General features: G+C 51.5%; 1 protein-coding gene across 9 annotated transcripts, besides 9 other annotated features; it reads left to right on the top strand.

Annotated features, from left to right (window-relative positions):
* Positions 809-1,478: an enhancer, noted in NCBI's record as "NANOG-H3K27ac-H3K4me1 hESC enhancer chr19:54704113-54704783 (GRCh37/hg19 assembly coordinates)". NCBI's record gives its function as "activates a minimal SCP1, AML or CMV promoter by ChIP-STARR-seq in primed H9 embryonic stem cells {active_cell/tissue: H9 hESC(primed)}" and the evidence as "EXISTENCE:reporter gene assay evidence [ECO:0000049][PMID:30033119]".
* Positions 809-1,734: a biological region, named in NCBI's record as "NANOG-H3K27ac-H3K4me1 hESC enhancer GRCh37_chr19:54704113-54704783".
* Positions 1,241-1,734: a silencer, noted in NCBI's record as "fragment chr19:54704546-54705039 (GRCh37/hg19 assembly coordinates)". NCBI's record gives its function as "represses an EF-1alpha promoter that drives an FKBP-Casp9 reporter gene in an ReSE screen in phorbol 12-myristate 13-acetate-treated (for megakaryocytic differentiation) K562 erythroleukemia cells {active_cell/tissue: K562(+PMA)}" and the evidence as "EXISTENCE:reporter gene assay evidence [ECO:0000049][PMID:32094911]".
* Positions 1,421-8,210, top strand: RPS9 (ribosomal protein S9). Of its 9 annotated transcripts, none has more exons than NR_135762.2 (6): positions 1,421-1,456; positions 1,723-1,844; positions 2,050-2,172; positions 6,839-7,025; positions 7,116-7,287; positions 7,961-8,210. NR_135762.2 is itself a non-coding variant. In NM_001321702.2 (5 exons), the coding sequence occupies exons 2-5, from the start codon at positions 1,748-1,750 to the stop codon at positions 8,136-8,138; spliced, it is 585 nt and encodes a 194-aa protein (NP_001308631.1). In that variant the 5' UTR covers positions 1,421-1,524; positions 1,723-1,747; the 3' UTR covers positions 8,139-8,210. The 9 variants fall into 9 exon arrangements, 7 of the variants coding, with proteins under 7 accessions (NP_001308631.1, NP_001308630.1, NP_001004.2 ...); NR_135763.2 differs by having other exon boundaries at positions 1,421-1,451; NM_001321702.2 differs by lacking the exon at positions 7,116-7,287 and having other exon boundaries at positions 1,421-1,524.
* Positions 6,389-6,897: an enhancer, noted in NCBI's record as "H3K4me1 hESC enhancer chr19:54709694-54710202 (GRCh37/hg19 assembly coordinates)". NCBI's record gives its function as "activates a minimal SCP1, AML or CMV promoter by ChIP-STARR-seq in primed H9 embryonic stem cells {active_cell/tissue: H9 hESC(primed)}" and the evidence as "EXISTENCE:reporter gene assay evidence [ECO:0000049][PMID:30033119]".
* Positions 7,405-7,912: an enhancer, noted in NCBI's record as "H3K4me1 hESC enhancer chr19:54710710-54711217 (GRCh37/hg19 assembly coordinates)". NCBI's record gives its function as "activates a minimal SCP1, AML or CMV promoter by ChIP-STARR-seq in naive H9 embryonic stem cells {active_cell/tissue: H9 hESC(naive)}" and the evidence as "EXISTENCE:reporter gene assay evidence [ECO:0000049][PMID:30033119]".
* Positions 7,913-8,419: an enhancer, noted in NCBI's record as "H3K4me1 hESC enhancer chr19:54711218-54711724 (GRCh37/hg19 assembly coordinates)". NCBI's record gives its function as "activates a minimal SCP1, AML or CMV promoter by ChIP-STARR-seq in naive H9 embryonic stem cells {active_cell/tissue: H9 hESC(naive)}" and the evidence as "EXISTENCE:reporter gene assay evidence [ECO:0000049][PMID:30033119]".
* Positions 8,515-8,698: a silencer, noted in NCBI's record as "fragment chr19:54711820-54712003 (GRCh37/hg19 assembly coordinates)". NCBI's record gives its function as "represses an EF-1alpha promoter that drives an FKBP-Casp9 reporter gene in an ReSE screen in HepG2 liver carcinoma cells {active_cell/tissue: HepG2}" and the evidence as "EXISTENCE:reporter gene assay evidence [ECO:0000049][PMID:32094911]".
* Positions 9,084-9,344: a transcriptional cis regulatory region, noted in NCBI's record as "silencer region targeted for CRISPR/Cas9 deletion". NCBI's record gives its function as "negatively regulates PRPF31 gene expression in K562 erythroleukemia cells {active_cell/tissue: K562}" and the evidence as "EXISTENCE:knockout evidence [ECO:0001091][PMID:32094911]".
* Positions 9,145-9,320: a silencer, noted in NCBI's record as "fragment chr19:54712450-54712625 (GRCh37/hg19 assembly coordinates)". NCBI's record gives its function as "represses an EF-1alpha promoter that drives an FKBP-Casp9 reporter gene in an ReSE screen in K562 erythroleukemia cells {active_cell/tissue: K562}" and the evidence as "EXISTENCE:reporter gene assay evidence [ECO:0000049][PMID:32094911]".

The following is a 15,643-nucleotide window of genomic DNA, read 5'->3' on the forward strand; positions in this document are numbered from 1 at the left end:
TAATGACGATGGTAGCTACCACTAGGCGCTTTATTTATGCCACTCTCCTCAACACTGGATAGACTCTCACTTAATCCTCACAAGCTTATGAGGTAGGCGCTACCATCATTCGCCGTTTTACAGAGGAGGACGCTGAGGCACAGAGTGATTGAGAAACTTGTCGAAGGCACTGCAGCTGGCAAGTGGTGACGTGGCATTTGAATCCAGGCATCCGGATGGTGTGGATGCCGTGGAAGAGAAAGGGGCGGGTGGGACTGCTTCCTGAGGAGATAGTGACTGCCGAGGCAGCAGCGTAGGGAAGACAACTGAAGAACACGAGCTGTGGAGACAGACCATCGCATTCGGAGTGGAGAGATGGGTGTACAGACAGACAATAACCAGACTATATATAAAAAGAGAACTCTAGGTCAGGCGCGGTGGCTCACACCTGTAATCTTAGCACTTTGGGAGGCTGAGGCGGGTGGATCACTTGAGGTCAGGCGTTGGAGACCAGGAGTTCAAAACCCCGTCTCTACTAAAAATTTAAAAATTAGCCGGGCATGGTGGTGGGCGCCTGTAGTCCCAGCTTCTCGGGAGGCTGAGGCACGAGAATCGATTGAACCCGGGAAGCGGAGGTTGCAGTGAGCCGAGATCGCACCACTGCACTCCAGCCTGGGTGACGAGAGCGAAAAACTCCGTCTCAAAAATAAAATAAATTACTGATAATAGTACTAATACCCCTTAAGTGGCTATTGATAATAATAGTACCATGGGTGGGGGGGCAACTTCTCTGAGAGTGCTCTGTAAGTATGTATTGAAGATTGAGTAAATACATTTAAAATTCTTAGAACAGTATGTGGCACATAGCGTTCCAGAATGCCACATTATTGTTAGTGACAGAAATAATCTCGGCTGGGCGCGGTGGCTCACGCCTGTAATCCCAGCACTTTGGGGGGGCCACGGCGGGAGGCTCTCTCGAGGCCGGGAGTTCAAGACCAGCCTGGGCAACATGGCAAGACGCCGACTGTTAAAAAAAAAAAATGCTACCCGGGCGTCGTGGCGTGTGCCTGTAATCCCAGCTACTGGGGAGGAGGTGGGAGGATCGCTCGAGCCCGAGAGGTTGGTCGGGGCCTCAGTGAGCCGAAATCACGCCACTGCACTCCAGCCTGGGCGACGGAGCGAGACCCTGTCTCAGAAAGAAAAAGAAAAACCACCGTCCAGGGGCGGAGAAGGAAGGTTCTCCCTACTTCTCAGGTTTCCACTCCCTGGCCGGAAAAAACCTAGTCCTCCCAGGTTAGCACGCCGCTCTAGCCCAGCCTCACGTCTCCACTGCTTCTCAGCCAGCCAACGCCTCTTCTGATTGGCTCTGACGTGCGTGGTGCGTGAAAACGTCACGAGACGCCGGCGTTACTATAAGAGCGCAGCCGTGGCGCTTCCGCGCCTCTTTCTCAGTGACCGGGTGGTTTGCTTAGGTGAGGTGCGGTGGTGTGCTTTTTCTCTAGGGTTTGGGTTGGATGGTGGCCCGGGCCTTCCGAGTTTCCATGAGTAAGCTAAAGACGTTAGGAAACAGAGCAGGGTGGTTGAACGGGAGTGCAGCACGGTTGTGGGGGCAGATACTGACTATGAGAGCGTTGGAGGTTATTCTCGCGAGATCGGATCTGGGCTCCGCGAGGTTTTGGCGTAGTTGTGGGACTGCGCAGGCGCCGTTTGGATCCCTTACGCTCACACTTCTCTCCCGCGCAGGCGCAGACGGGGAAGCGGAGCCAACATGCCAGTGGCCCGGAGCTGGGTTTGTCGCAAAACTTATGTGACCCCGCGGAGACCCTTCGAGAAATCTCGTCTCGACCAAGAGCTGAAGCTGATCGGTGAGTGGCCAAGGCTTCCGGGAAGTGGTTCGGCTTCCGGGAGGCGGTTAGCACGTGGATGAAGGTGCCCATGTACTCTATCTAGTCCGTCCCCTAAATTTGGTACTATTCGTGGTTTAGGAAGGTTTTGTGATTCCAAAGCTGCCAGTCTAGTTGTTGTGCCAGTACGTGGGACTACACTTGTCCACCCCCTTCTCCCCACCAGGCGAGTATGGGCTCCGGAACAAACGTGAGGTCTGGAGGGTCAAATTTACCCTGGCCAAGATCCGCAAGGCCGCCCGGGAACTGCTGACGCTTGATGAGAAGGACCCACGGCGTCTGTTCGAAGGTGCGTATGGGAGTCCACAGCAGAGGGATGGGGTGCAGGGCTTGTGAGGTTCATTCTCCCTTCTGTTGCCTCTGTTCCAGTGATGAGAGTTGTGTCATTGGATAAATGGAACCAGCCTTCTAACTTTTAGTGGCACTTGTGGAGTAGGAAAAGTGTATCTGGATCAGTCTTTGCCCTGTTTCTTAGGTGTGTGGCTTTTTTGCCCAGTTATTGGACCTTCAGTTTAGTAATGACCAGAGCTAAAGATAGGCCTGGCACACCTGGGCACCCGTCTATATCTTTATATTCTGTTTATGTGGCCTGTTTGCTAGTGGATGAGAGTAGACTATGAAGTGGAATTTCTGGGCTAAGTGATGGTGATAACAGGGTTTGCACATTTGCTTGGTTTATTGTTTTTTTAATTAAGTTTTCTCGTTTTATTTAGTCTTTTGAGACGGAGTCTTGCTCTGTTGCCCAGGCTGGAGTGCCGTGGCGCCATTTCGGCTTACTGCAACCCCCGCCTCCTGGGTTCAAACAATTCTCCTATCTTAGCCTCCCAAGTAGCTGGGACTACAGACAGGCGCACGCCACCACACCTGGCTAATTTTACTTTTGAGACGGAGTCTCGCTCCATTGCCCATGCTGGAGTGTAGTTGTCGCAATCTTGGCTCACTGCAAACTCCGCCTCCAGAGTTCAAGCGATTCTCCTGTCTTAGCCTCCTAAGTAGCTGGAATCACAGGCATGGGCCACCAAGCCTGGCTAATTTTCTATTATTAGTGGAGATGGGTTTTCACCATGTTGTCCAGGCTGGTGCTTGTTTTTTTAAGCTGGTCAAGGACATTTAGGTGGTATTTAGCAAAGGCCTGAACAGGAGAGAACCTGTAAAATGTCTCAGGGAACAGCATTTCAGGTGATGACTTTAGGAGGGCATGCAGATCACATAGACTTAGGCTTACTTTACTAATTGTGGTGAAATACACATTAAATTGAAAATGTACCATCTTAACCATCTTGTTTTAAAATCTACTCTGAGATGCGGTGTTATTGGAGTGCTTTCTACAGCAGATTGGCATGACCAAGATTGGCATTTGTATATCCTGAGACGCTGCTTTTGCCTGAGTTTGGGTAGTCATGATTTATGGTGAAAAGCAGTCTCTACACCTGAGCCCTGACTGTTAGGCATGAGAGTGGTCATCCATGTTAGGCGTTGAGAAAGTCCTGGCGCATGTTTAGCTACAGATTATCACAGTTTGTCCCAGGCTTGCAGATGTTAGAAGCTTTTTCTTTAAATAGGCACAGGATCTTGCAGTGTTGACCAGGATGGTTTCCAACTCCTAACCTCAAGTGATCCATCCACCTCAGCTTTCCAAAGTGCTGGGGTTACAGGTGTAAGCCACCGCACCTGACCCTTTCATTCTTTTCGTCAATTTGTAGACCCCGTTGATAATCTCATGAAAGTGCTGGAGATCCCTCCCCCATAGATACTGATGCTGGGTGGGAATTCATCCCAGGGTTCTGTGGGGAGTGGGCTATAGCTGGTTCTGGTTTTAGGGAGGACTTTCTGGACATAGATCCTAATTGCAATGAAACTTACAGTCATGTGAGAAAGCGGTGCAGGTGTCTGAGGGTTATTTGTGGTTTTCCAAGGCAGAAGTGAAAATTCCCAAGGGGTACACAGTTGTTCAGGTGAGTACACTTTCTAGTAAATGAAGCCATCTAGCCTAGTCAGGGACAGGAAGGAGGAGCTTGGATGTTTGCTCTTTGGTGTAATCCTGCCTTGATTCAGATCCTGCCTTTCCCACTAAGATGTGTGACTAGCGAGATTCTGAGTCTCGTCTGTTAAGACTGAACAGCCGCCAACATTTGGCTGGCAGTTAATAATCAACAGATAGAGGCCAGGCGTGGTGGCTCATGCCTGTAATCCCAGCACTTTGGGAGACCGAGGTGGTCGGATCACTTGAGGTCAGGAGACCTCAAGTCAGAGACCAGCCTGGCCAACGTGGTGAAATTCCATCTCTACGAAAAATACAAAAATTAGCCGAGCATGGTGGTGTGCCTATAATCCCAGCTACTCGGGAGGCTGAGGCAGGAGAATTGATTGAACCTGGGAGACAGAGACTGCAGTGAGCCGAGATCCGCGGCACTGCACTGGGTGACAGCGAGACACAAAACAACACGAACTCCCCCCCCACCCCCCAGCACAACTGTGAAGAAATGTAGGAGTCATGTCCATTTTTCAGATCAGAAATGAAGGCATTGTAATACCTAACTGCCTTGTATGATGACAAGGACCTGTTTCCCACTGAGGTCCTCCCTGGTTTGCATTTTTAAAGCATTTTAAATTCTCTTGGTGCATTGGCCCAGTGGAGCCTCAGCAGTAGGACATGCTTTTGTTGAAGGTGTAAGGTTTATTGTGCTGTTGAAAACTATTGTCTTCATACTTAAAGGTTTTGCCTGTGGCTGACTCTCCTGTTCTTTTTCAGGAGATAGATGGTTCAATAAATGTGGGCCTGAGTGCAGTGGCTCATGCCTGTAATCCCAGCACTTTGGGAGGCAGAGGCAGGCGGATCACCCGAGGTCGGGAGTTTGAGACTAGCCTGACCAAAGTGGAGAAACCCCTTAGTCTCTACTGAAAAAATACAAAATTAGCGGGGCGTGGTGGCGCATGCCTTTAATCCCAGGCTGAGGCAGGAGAATCCCAGGAGGCGGAGTTTGCAGTGAGCCGAGATCACGCCATTGCACTCCAGCCTGGGCAACGAGAGCGAAACTCTGTCTCAAAAATGATAATAAATGTGAAACATTTTTTTAAAATCATGCCTTTGTTTTGCCTAATGGTGACGATCTCACTTTGTCTCCCGGGCTGGAGCACAGTGGCATGGTCGTGGCTCACTGCAGCCTGGACCTCCTGTGCTTAAGTGATCCTCCTCAGCTCTAGTAGCTGGGACCACAATCCACCATGTACCACCATGCCCGGCTAATTTAGTTTTACTTTTTTGTTTGTTTTGGTACAAATGCGGTCTCACTGTGTTGCCGAGGCTAGTTTCAAACTTCTGGACTCAACTGATCCTCCTGCCTCAGCCTCCCAAAATATTGGGTTTATAGGCCAGGCATAAGGGACTGTGCGTGGCTTAAGTTTCCATTTTCTAATGTAAAGACAAAAAGGCGTGAAGTGTCCAAAGAGGTAAATGGTCCCAAACTCATTTTCATTGCCTTTTGGACATGTTTTTGTATTTTGATATTCAGGTGTTTAAATATCCTCTGATGTTGAGTTAAAAAAGAACAAAAATTGAAGCCATAGTATGACATAGGATGCTGGAAATGCACACAGCTGGTGTTTCCATTTTGATTCTCCCTACCTGTAACTGCTCCCTACTGGGAAAACTTTGGGTCCTCACAAAGTGAGCTAGCTTTCTTTCAAACTTTGCTTGGAGGGTAACAGTGCCAGGAATATCAGAAGTGCCTGATGCATGTAGATCTATTTATGAAAGCTTGCTTGAATGGTTTGCTGTAACTAGTAAGAGCCACTTTTTATAAAAGTGCACATAAGGAAAAAAGGTTGAGGTGTTTACCCCAGTCAAGGGGCAGTTGATTTGCTGAAGGCGTGTGGGATTATAGCAGTGAGCGGGAGCCTAGGGGATGGCGTTTGCCCCCAGGGCCCTGGGGCTGTGGGCAAGGGCAGTCCAGAGTATTAGCTAGAAGCCATGGCTTTGGACAGGGTAAGGAGCAAGCCGTCCTGAGCCTGGGGTTGGAAGAAAGGTGTAGTAGGGCATCTGTTGGATATTTTATGCAGTGCATTGTTAGGTTATATACATACTAGATATATTTTTGGTGGAAAATTTTGTACAGAATAGTAAAATGAATGACATGTACCTAGCTGGAAAAATTCTAGTGTTAGAAATTACTTTTCTCTCCTTAAAAGATGTAGATACTGCTATTTATGGCACGGAATGTGATTCAATCTCACATCTGCTTAATCAGAAGAGCTGTCTGGGCTGAGGATATGAACTCTTCAGCACTGTGCTTTGTTACGGTGGTAGTAGCTTAATAGCAGCTGCATTTGGTCTTTTGCAGACTGAGTCCTTGTAAGGAGGTGATTTCCTTTACTCTTGCTAAGAATGTGGAGCGAGGGATGTATGCTCTCAGATGAGGAGGCAGGTGTATTTTGCCCTCCTGTCATCTGCAGTTTACTATGAATGATGACCTGACAACCATAGGGTAGTTTGGTTTTTTGTATTGTTTTGTTTTGTGACAGGGCCTCACTCTGTCGCCCAGGCTGGAGTGCAGTGGCCCCATCTCAGGTCACTGCAACCTCCGCCTCCTGGGTTCAAGCAGTTTTCCTTCCTCAGCCTCCTGAATAGCTGGGATTACAGGCAGTGCGCCAACGGCCTGGCTAATTTTTCGTAATCTTAGTGGAGACGGGCTTTCGCCATGTTGGCCGGGCTGGTCTCTCAAACTCCTGACCTCAAGTGATCCGTCTCGGACTCCCAAAGTGCTGGGATTACAGGTGTGAGCCACCACTCCCAGCCCGTAGGGTGGTTTTGACAGTGACATGGGTCACGGTGATGGCGCTGTACTACTTGTGCCTCACCGCCGCGGCATGGAGCTACCAAGAGGCGGAGCCAGGATTTGAACCCAAGAAGCCTGAGGTCAGAAGGCGGAATCAGTGTTTCCTCCCACTCTTCCCAGGCAACGCCCTGCTGCGGCGGCTGGTCCGCATTGGGGTGCTGGATGAGGGCAAGATGAAGCTGGATTACATCCTGGGCCTGAAGATAGAGGATTTCTTAGAGAGACGCCTGCAGACCCAGGTCTTCAAGCTGGGCTTGGCCAAGTCCATCCACCACGCTCGCGTGCTGATCCGCCAGCGCCATATCAGGTACCACCTCGGATGGGCACCTGAATCTTCCTCCACCTGCCCCTCTGATGGTTGCCCTCACTAAGCCTGCTGTCCCTATCTCCTATGCAGCCCTCGGAGGTGATGGGTGTGAACTCACCCAGAGGGTACAGATTCACCCTTGCACACAGCTCACCAGGGAGCTGGGGCAGCCTCTTGCCCCAATAGCCCAGCGCAAGGGTCACTGCGGCTCTAGCCGTACACCTTGTGAAGGCCTCTGCCAGGCATGTGGGCAGCTGGACAGGTAACAGCTCTTGGTGTCCCCAGTGGAGGGAGAGAACCAGCCTCACCTCGCTTGGGTGGTGGGTTCAGCTGTCTCCTGGCCCGCTTGTGAAGTTGATTCCAGACCCCGATCCATGACTGCGTTCTGGGTACTCAGTGTGCCCTTTCTGTAATGTGGCACCATTGAGGGGGAGGAGCTGTACAGAAAGAGGGCAAGATGTTTGCGTTTAGAATCTTCGCCCCAGCCCTTCACTAACCCTGTGAGCCGTAGGCAGAGCCTTGTGTGTCAATGCTTTCGTCGGAGACGTAGCCTCGGGTTGCTGTGTTATTGTGGGCATTGCTGCTGCACGTGGTAATACAGCTCAGTGTCAGGTGTGGGGTTCACGATATTTCAGACTCGGAACTTGGGGGCTCTCACATGGCCATCTCATTTGCTTTGTGGTCTTAGGTGGGATACTTTCGGATTTCTCCTATAAAATGGGGTTGAGAAAGTCATCTGAAGCATTTTTGGGGATTAAGGTGATACCCTAAAACCCCGGAGGGCGCACGTAGGATCAGGTGCACCCTTCCTGCAGCGCCTTGGTGTCTGCAGCCGTGGCGGCCTCACGGGGTGGGTGGAGAGGAAAGAGTGGTGCGGTAGCTGGGGTTAGCGTCCGTTTCTCCTCCAGTCCACCTCACCTTGTCGCTGCTTCCAGGGTCCGCAAGCAGGTGGTGAACATCCCGTCCTTCATTGTCCGCCTGGATTCCCAGAAGCACATCGACTTCTCTCTGCGCTCTCCCTACGGGGGTGGCCGCCCGGGCCGCGTGAAGAGGAAGAATGCCAAGAAGGGCCAGGGTGGGGCTGGGGCTGGAGACGACGAGGAGGAGGATTAAGTCCACCTGTCCCTCCTGGGCTGCTGGATTGTCTCGTTTTCCTGCCAAATAAACAGGATCAGCGCTTTACAATTGGTGTGTGGGGGTCTCTCATCCTTGACTCTTTCCCCTGCTCTAAACATGCAGCCTTCCCTGGGAGGCTCACTCACTTGGGAGTGCCTACCAGCTAGTGGTCCCTGGCCTCTCAGTACTATTCTACAGTAGTGAACACACATCTTTACCAGAAACTTCTGTCATCAGGGGAGAGACGAGTGGTATTTTTGGAAAAACTGTGTCAAAACCAGAAGGAAATTCCAAGTAAGCCGGTGTTTGCATATAGGGGTGGGAGGGAGCCGGTCATTGCTAGGCAGGGCAGGCGCCGAGTGGAGGTGGGGGCCTTCCCTGCCTGCTGGCCCTGGGACCCTGACCCCGCCAGGCAAGAGACAGGTGGGACGGGAGCTGACCAGAGGCTGACGGGTTGCTGGGGAAGGTGAACTGTTGGTGATTGTTGGGGAACACTTCACAGAATTTGCTTGCTAGTTTCAAAGCTTGTGATGCAGTTGATGTTGGGCAAGTTCCCAGTTTTGTCTTCACATGTAGGGGAAGTGGGTTAGCGTAGGAGAAGGGGCGTTGAGGGAAGTCTGTTCCTCCTCTCCGCGTTCAGTGCTTCTGTGGACTCACGGTCAAGAGGTTGGCAGGCTTCCCTTTTCTCAGCCTTGTTGATCATCTGTGTTGGGAAGGGGTTTGGTTTCTGAGGAAGTGAGAAACCTGAAATTGTGCAACCCCCTCAGGCTGCAGGCTGTAGTTGATTGGGTCCTTATCTGGAGGCCTTCAGGGTTTGAGGTCAGGGCAGGGACAGTTCTGGAACACAGCTAAGTTACTGTAAACCACGTGGAGAAGTCCATTGCGGCTTACTCAAGCTAGGTGGTTGGCCCTTCCTTCCCTCAGCGTTGCTACTTGGGAAATGACGGTGGTCTTGTGTCCATGGGGCCAGCTGCTGCACCATCTGGGCTCACTGTGGTCTCCTTCCTTGGAGCGTGGGGTCTGGGCTAGTGGATGGCCGGGGCAGCGTACTCACTGGGCTCCTGGGAGCTCCCCTGGGAGGAAGAGACTGCAGTTGTCTCTGGTCTGAGAGGTGGTGGCTCACCTGGGTGTAGCTCACAATTGCGGAGCTCCACGGCAGCCTGGAGGGAGGGGAGAGTGGGAGTTGAGGTATGCGGTTCTGGGGAGAAGCCTACGGGCTTGGAAAGGAAAAGGGTCTTCAGGGCTCTGTCTACAGAGGCAGCGAGCGGGGCAACAGAGGGAGACTCCATCTCAAGAATTTGTAGAGATGGAGTCTCAATGTGTTGCCCCGGCTGATCTAAAACCCTTGGCCTCAAGCAATCCACTCGCCTCCCAAAGCGCTAGGATGACAGGTGTGAGCCACAGTGCCTGGCCTGCGTGGGTCTGTTTAATCTCCGGGCCTCTTGCTCTCCCTTTCTTGGTGATCTCCTTGGACCACATCCCTGTATCATTCTCTCTCTCGACCCTGAGCCCAGGGTCCAGAGCAGAGAACGGGATGGGGTCTGGGTAGGGGCCCCTCACTTGCAACCAGGATGTTGGGTGGGGGCGACGGGGGACCGACCTTGGGCAGGAGGCATTGTGTCCACCGCAGCATCTGTGCTGGCCCCCAGGGGGGTGGCTCGCATGGCCCAGGGGGACGTCCAGGAGGTGCTGCCCATCTAGGCGCTGGCGGGCTGGGAGCCCCTTGTCCTGGTCAATGCAGAGCTGTCAAAACCGGCCTCTGAGTGATGCTGAGGGGTCAGGCTGTCTCCAGAGAGCACCGGCGATCCCGGCTGTGCTGAGAGGGAGGGCTGAGGGCTGCCTGGACGCCCCTGAGATGAGGCGACTGGTATTTAGGGGATGCGTACTCTCTGGGGCCCGCTGGGGCCTGCAGGGAGAGCTCTCACCGGTCTCAACTCCATGCCTTCTGCCTTGTGCTTCTGGCCCAAGAGGTCGGGGTCACTGACCACCCCGTGTCCACCTAAGGCTTCCCTGGACACACAGCAGGGAGATGGGCAATGAGGGTGGGGGTTGTGGCCCTGCCTGTCACGGTCCCCAGCAGTGCAGATGAATTAGACCATTGAGCCACAGAGCCTGGAGGGCAGATGGGTGTGCTGGTATAAGGAGCCCCGGGCTCTGTGTTACAGGTCATGTGTTCTCACCAGTGGCCTTGCAGGAGGGGAACAGCCCCTTCCCCAGGGCCTCGCTCTGCTCCCCCTGAAGGATGGGGCTGAGGGGACAGCAGGCTCTGGGGGCCTTTCAGACCACATTTGAGTCAAAATTTGACTTCCCCATACTCTGCCTGCTTCCACCTCACCCAACTCTCATCCAGGGGTGACCCTTGTTCTAGCACATGAGGCTGAGGCCAGAGAGGGCAGGGCCTTAGGACACAGCCCAGTCACTGTTCTAATTCTAGAGGCAAGCCCCTTCCATGTCCTGAGCTCTGTAATGCATCTTTTCTTTCATGAGCCTTGCGATCAGGCGATGTTTATTCAGTGGTTACCACATCCAGGCATGCTGCCAGGAGGAGGGGAGTCGTGGGTGAAGCTGATAGGATTCCTGCTGGACTCACAGAGCCTGGGTTAATGACACATTACCCATGTTTAGATAGGAGGTAATTCTGCTCCGGTTTCGACAAGTTGTAGGAAAGGAGGAAAACATGCTCATAGCAGGTGAGCAGCGTACACCTGTCATGGGAGTGAGGGGTCCTTCTGGGGGATGGAGAGACCAAGACGTGAACAGTGAGTGTGGCACGCAGAGTGTCCTCCACCAGAAACAGTGTGGGCTGTTCTCAGACCTGAGAGTGAGCCAAAGGAAGCTGGGACCTTGTCATTCAGGGGACTTGTGCACCGTGAAGATTTATTGGATGCTATGTTTAAGAAAATGGAAAATCCGGCCCGGCACGGTGGTTTGCACCTGTAATCCCAGCACTTTGGGAGGCGGAGGTGGGTGGATTATGAGGTCAGGAGTTCGAGACCAGCCTGGCCAACATGGTGAAACCCCGTCTCTACTAAAGACACAAAAAATCAGCCAGGTGTGGTGGTGGACGCCTGTAATCCCAGCTACTCGGGAGGCTGAGGCAGGAGAATCACTTGAACCCGGGAGGTGGAGGTTGCAGTGAGCCGAGATCGCGCCACAGCACTCCAGCCTAGGTGACAGAGTGAGACTCCATCTCAAAAAAAAAAAAAAAAAACCGGGGAATCTTTAGAAAGCACAGTGGAAACAGATGTCTGTTTTTACAAGCCCATCACTGCACAGAATGCAATATGGGAGGGTTTCACTAATGGTTAACCATAACCACACTCCAGCGTGAGCCCAGCCACTAGGCAATGTGCTGATAAGGATTCTAAGTGGTTTATGTGGACTCCTCATGACCTATGACACACATACGTTTACAGTGGAGTGGAACGAGGCAGGAGGGCTTCTCTTTGTCATAGTCTACCAGCTCTGCAGAGGTGTCAGCTACATCCGGATTGGCTCAGGGAGCGGCCGTCAGAAGACTTACACGTGTTTAATAACTGAGGTTGTGTGTGTGTGGCAGGGGGTGGGTAACTGTGATGAGTTTGGTGTGGCAGAGGGGGAGCCATAGCCTGTGAAGCTGGAAAGTGTATCAGGTTTGGTCATCAACAGGCTTGAACATGAAGTACAGGAACGTGCATCTTATTTTTGGAAGATGGAGCCCCGTTGGGGGAATTTGAGCAGTGGAGGGTCACAGCCAGGTAAGATGGTCAGAAGAGGCCTCGGAAGTGATGAGAGGGATGGACTGGAGTAGGGATGGGAGCCAGTAGGGGGCCAGGAGGGAGGTTGGTGCAGTGCACAGACAGGGCGTCCTCGGTCCCCAGCTGAGCTTAGACTGTGGGGATGGACCAGCGGACACGGGTGGAGCCGGGTGAGGAGGGATGTGGGCAGAGAGGTTTGGATTTGTTCACTGTGTGTGAAGCAGAAGAGTGTGAGGAGCTTTTCCACTCTCTGCCTTGGTTGATGGGAGGAACCAGTGGGGCTGCCGCAGGACAGACGACCCGCGTGGGAGAAGGAGGCTCGGGGAGATGTTTCTAAGACTTAACTTGCTCACAGAGGGAAGCACAAGCTTCCTTCGAGCCTGGGCTTTGTTTTCCCAAACAGGTCCCTTCACTGACTTTCTTTTTTGAGACGGAGTCTCGCTCTGTCGCCCAGGCTGGAGTGCAGTGGCGCGATCTCGGCTCACTGCAAGCTCCGCCTCCCGGGTTCACGCCATTCTCCTGCCTCAGCCTCCCGAGTAGCTGGGGCTACAGGCGCCCGCCACCACGCCCGGCTAATCTTTTGTATTTTTAGTAGAGACGGGGTTTCACCGTGCTAGCCAGGATGGTCTCGATCTCCTGACCTCGTGATCCACCCGCCTCGGCCTCCCAAAGTGCTGGGATTACAGGCGTGAGCCATCGCGCCCAGCCAACTTTCCTGTTAATGAGTAGCACTCTTTTTTTCTTTCTTTTCTTTCCCCCTTTTTTTTTTTTTTTAGACATGGTCTTGCTCTGTTTCCCAGGCTGGAGTGCAGTGGCGTGACCTCAGCTCACTACAACCTCCACCTCCTGGGTTCAGGTGATTGTCCTGCTTCAGCCTCCCAAGTAGCTGGATTACAGGCACGTGCAACCACGCCTGGCTAATTTTTGTATTTTTAGTAGAGACAGAGTTTCACCATGTTGGCCAGGCTATTCTCGAACTCCTGACCTTAAATCATCCTCTTGCCTTGGCCCCCCAAAGTGTTAGGATTACAGGCATGAGCCATCATGCTCGGCCTCTTTTTTCTTTTTCTTTTTTTTTTTTTTTGTTTTTGAGACAGAGTCTTGCTCTGTCACCCAGGCTGGAGTGCAGTGGCGTGATCTCAGCTCACTGCAGCCTCCACCTCCCAGGTGCCAGCGATTCTCCTGCCTCAATCTCCCAGTTAGCTGGGATTACAGATGCGCGCCACCATATCCAGCTAAATTTTGTATTTTTTAGTAAAGACAGAGTTTTACCATGTTGGCCAGGCTGGTCTTGAACTCCTGACCTCAGGTGATCCGCCCGCTTCAGCCTCCCAAAGTGTTGGGATTACGGGCATGAGCCACCATGCTCGGCCTCTTTTTTCTTTGCTTAAAAGATGAGGCCTGTTGCCCAGGCTGGAGTGCAGTGGCACTATCATAGCTCACTGCAGCCTTGACATCGTGGCTCAGGTGATCCTCCCACCTCAGGCTCCCGAGTGGCTGGGACTACAGACGTGCACCTCCACAGCCACTACTTATTTTTGTAGCGATGTCTATCAGCTGGTGAATAGAGAAAGTGTGGTATATCCTTACAACAAAATATTATTCAACCGTAGAAAGGAATGAAGTACTCATACATGCTACATGTGTGAACCTTGATAATATACTAGATAAAAGCAGTCAGGAAAAAAAGGTCACATATGACGTTATTTCATTTATAAGAAGTATCCAGCCTGGGTGTGGTGGCTCATTGCCTGTAATCCAGCACTTTGGGAGGCCAAGGCAGGTGGATTGCCTGAGTTTAGGAGTTTGAGACCAGCCTGGGCAACATGGTGAAATACCATCTCTACCAAAAATACAAAAAATTCACCCGGCATGGTGGCATGTGCCTGTGATCCCAGCTACTTGGGAGGCTCAGGTGGCAGGATCGCTTGAGCCTGGGAGGCAGAGGTTACAGTGAGCCGAGATCACACCACTGCACTCCAACCTGGGTGACAGAGTGAGTCCCTGTCTCAAAAAAAAAAAAAAAAGGTATTCAAAGAAGGCCAATCGATAGAGGCAGAAAGTAGGTTAATTGTTGCATGGGATTAGGTGGGAGTGATTGCTTGATGTAAACTCGGTTTCCTTCTCGGTATGATAAAAATGTTTCGGAATGAGATAGAGGTGATGCTTACACCATATTGTGAATTTACTAAATGCCACAAAATAGAGTTGTATCTCAATAAAAATATATTTGTTGGGCCGGGTGCGGTGGCTCACGCCTATAATCCCAGCACTTTGGGAGGCAGGCAGATCAAGAGGTCAGGAGTTCAAGACCAGCCTGGCAAAACCCTGTCTCTACTAAAAATATAAAACTTAGCCAGGCGTGGTGGCATGTGTCTGTAATCCCAGCTACTCGGGAGGCTGAGGTAGAATGGAGCGAGACTCCGTCTCAAAAAAATATATATATATATGTAAATATATATATGTTGGGCATAGTGGTGCACACATGTAGTCCCAGCTACTTGGGAGGCTGAGGCAGGAGAACCACTTGAACCTGGGAAGCGGAGGTTGCAGTGAGCCGAGACTGCACCATTGCACTCCTGCCTGGGCAAAAAGAGTGAAACTCCATCTCGAAAAAAAAAAAAACCACACACACACACGTAGATAAAATCAAATATTCTGTATTCCATAAATATGTACAATTATTATTTTTCAATTAAAAACTCTTAAGCTGGGCACAGTGGCTCATGCCTGTAATCCCAACACTTTGGGAGGCGGAGATGGGAGGCTCTTGAGCCCACAAGTTTGAGGCCAGTTTGGGCAACATCGTGAGATCCCATTGCTACAAAAAAATTTAAAATATATTTTTAAAAAACTCTAATACAGTAGTCCCCCTTTATCTGTAATTTTCTTTCTGTGTTTTCAGTTACCTGGTGGTCAACCATGGTCCAAAAATATTAAATAGAAAAGTTAAGGAATCATAAGTTTTTTTTTTTTTTTTTTATTGATCATTCTTGGGTGTTTCTCGCAGAGGGGGATTTGGCAGGGTCATAGGACAACGGTGGAGGGAAGGTCAGCAGATAAACAAGTGAACAAAGGTCTCTGGTTTTCCTAGGCAGAGGACCCTGCAGCCTTCCGCAGTGTTTGTGTCACTGGGTACTTGAGATTAGGGAGTGGTGATGACTCTTAACGAGCATGCTGCCTTCAAGCATCTGTTCAACAAAGCACATCTTGCACCGCCCTTAATCCATTTAACCCTGAGTGGACACAGCACATGTTTCAGAGAGCACAGGGTTGGGGGTAAGGTCACAGATCAACAGGATCCCAAGGCAGAAGAATTTTTCTTAGTACAGAACAAAATGAAAAGTCTCCCATGTCTACCTCTTTCTACACAGACACCGCAACCATCCGATTTCTCAATCTTTTCCCCACCTTTCCCCCCTTTCTATTCCACAAAACCGCCATTGTCATCATGGCCCGTTCTCAATGAGCTGTTGGGTACACCTCCCAGACGGGGTGGCGGCCGGGCAGAGGGGCTCCTCACTTCCCAGTAGGGGCGGCCGGGCAGAGGCGCCCCTCACCTCCCGGATGGGGCGGCTGGCCTGGCGGGGGGCTGACCCCCCCACCTCCCTCCCGGACGGGGCGGCTGGCCGGGCGAGGGGGGAATCATAAGTTTTTAACAAATCAAAATATTTCTAAAAACCTAGAGTAGGCAGGAAAGGGGAAACAACACACAGCAGAGGAGACAAACAAAAAGGCACACCTGAACACAGTCATGCACCGCAT

This window comes from Homo sapiens, chromosome 19 (assembly GCF_000001405.40).
Source record: "Homo sapiens chromosome 19, GRCh38.p14 Primary Assembly".
Lineage (NCBI taxonomy): Eukaryota > Metazoa > Chordata > Mammalia > Primates > Hominidae > Homo > Homo sapiens.